Source organism: Homo sapiens, chromosome 2, assembly GCF_000001405.40.
Source record: "Homo sapiens chromosome 2, GRCh38.p14 Primary Assembly".
NCBI lineage: Eukaryota > Metazoa > Chordata > Mammalia > Primates > Hominidae > Homo > Homo sapiens.
The window spans coordinates 129779531-129784113 of NC_000002.12; the positions used below are offsets into that span (position 1 = coordinate 129779531).

The 4583-nt window shown below is 51.4% G+C and overlaps 2 annotated features.

Annotated features, from left to right (window-relative positions):
* Nucleotides 2238–3049: an enhancer, noted in NCBI's record as "H3K4me1 hESC enhancer chr2:130539341-130540152 (GRCh37/hg19 assembly coordinates)". NCBI's record gives its function as "activates a minimal SCP1, AML or CMV promoter by ChIP-STARR-seq in primed H9 embryonic stem cells {active_cell/tissue: H9 hESC(primed)}" and the evidence as "EXISTENCE:reporter gene assay evidence [ECO:0000049][PMID:30033119]".
* Nucleotides 3050–3861: an enhancer, noted in NCBI's record as "H3K4me1 hESC enhancer chr2:130540153-130540964 (GRCh37/hg19 assembly coordinates)". NCBI's record gives its function as "activates a minimal SCP1, AML or CMV promoter by ChIP-STARR-seq in primed H9 embryonic stem cells {active_cell/tissue: H9 hESC(primed)}" and the evidence as "EXISTENCE:reporter gene assay evidence [ECO:0000049][PMID:30033119]".

A 4583-nucleotide genomic window follows, 5' to 3' on the forward strand; every position in this document is an offset into this window, starting at 1 on the left:
AGGAACAGCATGATGCATTTAAGAAACAGCAGCCACAGGGCAGCCTTTCCTGTCCCCATCATTGTGTGACAAATCGAATTCTCAGGGAAGGCATAGAGTGAGCAAGTGGTGCAGCTAGCACTCAAGGTTGGGTCCACCTGTGTCCAATATGCACATTTGTTCTGTTGTTGGGCTGCACACAACAGATGGAATTGAGCTCCACTTCGAGATGGTGGAGGAAGGATGAGGGGAGACTAGGCCTTGGCTCTGCCACTAGCCCACTCTGTGTCCTTGGTCTCTCCAGATCTGAAGTGGACGATGGCCTGAGTCCATGCTTTCACACCATGTTCACAGAGCACTGTGGCCTCACAGGAGTGTCAACCCTGGGAAGGCTCAGCCACGCATCCCAGAGCCTGCTCCAGTCTGGCCCCGTGCTGGAGTTGACTTTGGGATGCATCTGGCTCTGCTGCCATCTCTCTGGGACCTTCCTGTTCAGAGGAGCCTCCGCGACTGGCCACCCTCATTCAGGCTCCCCAGTCTCCTGGGTCCCAGCCAACAAGGCTGATACAGCCATGTGAGGTTCACCTGAGTGCCTGCCCAGCACACGGGCATTCATGAGACTGGTCTGGCACACACTGCCCTCTGCTCTTGGCCTTTCCTGCCCACCTCACTGCTGCCTCCACACCTTCTGTCCGGTCTCACCCCCATGAGGCCAAGTAGCTTAGGGTGCCCTCCTGTCAGGGAATTTGCATTTTATTAGGATAATTGAATACTTTGTGACCCAAATAAATGGGAAGCTCCCCGGCCACACAGCCTCTGCCAAAAGGAAGGACCCCAGGTTCTCCTTCAGCCATGAATGAGACTTTGGGATGGTCTTTAGCCCAGAAACACACACCCTGCAGGGCTTCTGGGGACTCAGGAACCAGCCCCCTGGACTCTCAGACGGGGAAGTGCCTCTCCCAACCCCTCTCAGAGGCCCCCGTTTGGCTTTCCATGCTGGAGGGGAGGCCCCCATCCTGACCACAGCCCAGACTCCCATAGCCCGCACCCCCAGGGGTTCGCCTAAACCCCAGATGGCCTCCAAGATTCAGGCGCCAGGCGAGGGGACAGGGCAGGGATGTGAGGAATGGTCCTTCTCAGGAATGTCAAATTCTCAAGGACCCCTCTTGCTCAGCCAAGGCTCACCCCTGTGCCGCCGGCAGGGGAGACACCCCTGTCACAGGCTGTGCTCCTGCCCTGCTGGCCCCAGTGTCTGAATCACTACCTCTCAGCACTGTTAGACACACAGCTGGGTTACTTTTCCTCTGGCTCCTTTTGGGACTGAATTTAATCTTGCAATTTACATTTTCTGATAAACTATTCCTGACTTTGGGTAAAAGACCAAGGTCAGATTAGAATCCTTTCCCTCTCACGGTAAGTTAGTGCTTTGTGGTTTGGTTTTTGTTTGCTTGCTTGCTTTGCTTGGTTTCATTTAATTTTGTCTTTATCTTGAAACTCAGAGTTGCAAACCTGGACCAGCAGCTGGCTCCTGTATAGCAGAGGGGAAGTGGGGCCTCCCTTTTCTTTCCAAATTACTGAAAGCATAAATCCTGTTGGGACGGCACCCAGCAGAGAGCAGGACAGCAGAAGAAAGGGAACGGAGTCTTCTCTGATTCCACAGCAAAGTGCTAGTGGCCGAAGGCTTGAACTTGCCAAAGCACTCCGGTGAACTCACCCTTGAGTGCAGGCCCCTGTGCCTTCCTGAACACCCCCTGAATGGTCCTGGCTCTGAGGAGGAGGGGAGCACTGTGCCTGGGGGATGAAGGAGCCGGCGTATGCAAAGAAGCTATCAGCAGTTGGTGAGAAAAACTTTAGCTGAAGGGCTCGTGTTGAATTAGGTGTCATGGTCAGGTTAGACAGAGGCACAGAGAGAGAGAGAGAAATAGAGACAGAGACAGAAACAGACAGAGACAGACAGAGAAACAGAGGCAGAGAGAGAGAGATAGAGACATAGAGAGAGACAGAAACAGAGAGACAGAGACAGACAGAGACATAGAGAGACAGAGACAGAGAGCAAGGGGATAGGAGAGGGCAGCAAGGCTGAGCCGCCGAGCGAAGAGGAGGTTGGGGTGGCAGCCCTGTGCATGCGGCTGTCCTTCCCAGTCCTGAGGGTCCCCTCCCGCAGCCTGTCCCGTCCCCACAGCTGTCTTACGCACAGTAGCTGAGAAAATTGAGACACTGAGATTTTAAGTAACTTATTTAAGGTTGAGCAAAGAATATCTGACCCCAAAGACATCATCACTTGTTGATTTTTCAAAACGTCAGTGGCTAAAGCTCGAAGTGGAATCAATAGGGCGGCAGCCCTAGGGGGCCATTTTTCCTTTCACCTGTGCCTTTGTCCACTCATCAGTGGCTGAAAGTGCCCCAGCACCGTCTGTGCCCTCGGAGCTCCCGGGCACAATACACCCTCCTCCATGGGGATGTGTGTCCTGATGGCCAGGTATCACCTGAGAGCCTCACAGACCTCAGCCAGCCCCCTCCTTGAGTGCTTGCCCTCCAGTGATCTGGCCCCTTTTTTCAATAACTGAGAGGAAGCCCGGCACACAGGCTGCCTTCTCTCTGTCCTCGTGCTCGTGCATGCCTGCCAGGAGAGATCCTGCATACAGACAACACACAGGCAGCGCTGGGAAGGGCTGTCCTGCTTACAGCTCTGCGCTCTCTAGGAAACACTGACAGAGGTTGAGGATGGGGTGGCTTCCACCGGCCTGATCCCATCTGGATCCTGGGTCCTGCTCAGTGAGGCCCTTGATGAAGCCGGCAGAACAAAGACTGGAGGGAGAGCGTCCCCACCCCAGTAATGAGGGGTACCACAGTTTGCCTGTGTGGTTACGGATTTGGTTACTGGCACAGGTTAGGTGGCTCCCACCTGCTGCCTGTGAAATCTGGGGCAAGTGCCACCATCCTCCTCACCTGCAAAACCAGGGTGACAGGAATGACACCTCCTGAGACTAATCAGACAGCGAGGCTCAGCACCTAGCACGCCCCGGCATGGAGGAGCCCACACAGCCTGTTATTATTATTAGGCACAAACAAGGCCAGGTGGGTTGATTCCATCTGTACTTCCTCCTTCTCAGGAACAGTGGCTGAGAGGCTGTTCTGTTGGGGTCCCCACACTATCTCCAGCTCTTGACCCTTGTGTCCAGGCCTGGCGCACATCCACAGCCTGATCCTAACATCCTGTGTGCACACAGCGTGCGAGGGACCTGCCTTCTTGCTCCAGCTCTCTGTGGCTCGGTGGTGGCCGGGCTCAACCACCCTCTCTCCCAGGGTGGGGGTGGCTTCTCTGATGTCTCATGGGTCTCTCCTCCTCCCAGGGTTCTGTTGCTCCCTTCATGAGGGTAGAAGCCTCCTTCCACTTCCCTTTTCAGGGTACTCAGGTGTCACCAGCAGCAGCCTGGCTTTGACAGCCTGGGCACCACTGTGGGGTCCAGAAATTGCAGCCATCCTAAACCTGCATCTGTGGGATGGGAGTGTGCACGCCAGGTCGTGGAGGGCTCCTCGTCCTGTGGCTCATGAAGTTGAGAAAGGTGTTTGCAACCTTGGGACCCCACTGCGAGCATTGGGCTCCATTCCAATTAGAAAAGCCAGGGAGCTTGGGCCGACCCTGCCTTTCCTCCATCAGTGAGCAGAAGCTACATGTGGCTTGATATACTGATGCTTCTTACATTGTGTCACTCAAAGCACAATAAAACCAGTGGCTTGAAGCTGCATTGTTTCCAGACCATACACACACACACACACACACACACACACACACACACACAAAATCACACCAAAGTCCAGGTAGAATACAGCCAACTTACCTGGAGAGTTATTCACATTAAATTGAGGGGTTTATGGAACTAAAATCAGTATACTCACACAATTCTCTCTCATAATAACATACTGGGGAATGGGTGGGTGCAGAATTGTGGAATTAAATACATTTCTTGACAATAATAATACAGTCTATCTGACACTATCAAAAATGAAATGATATCTAGACATAAATCTAACAAAACATATTCAGGATCAGTGCACTGGAAATTAGAAAATGCTGATGAAAGAAATCAAAGAAGGCTTAAAAATTTGAGCCACAGCGTGCTCATGGATTAGAAGGCTCAGCATAGGAAAGATGCCAGTACTACCAAAACTATTCTACATGCTGAACACAATTCCTAACAAAAGCTTAGCAAGAGTTTTTGTTCAAATAGACAATCTCGTTCTAAAATGCATATACGGAAAGGGGGAAAAATAAAGATAAGAAAGTGGGAGGAATCACTCTTCTTGGTGTTAAGGCTTCCTGTGTAACCACAGAAATCAAGACAGTATAGTTAGTATTGGCAGAGACATAGACACATTGATCAACAGGAAAAAAACAGAGAACCCAGAAATAGACCCAAACAAATAGACCCACATGGATGTATTATAAAAGTGGAAAAGCAAATTAAGGGAGGAAGGACCACCTTTTCAATAAATGGTGCTGGAAGAAGTTGAATCTCCATAACCCAAAACATGAACCTCAACCTAAGTCCCACACCTTCTATAAAAATTAACTCAAAACAGACAAGTGTACAATGAAAAAT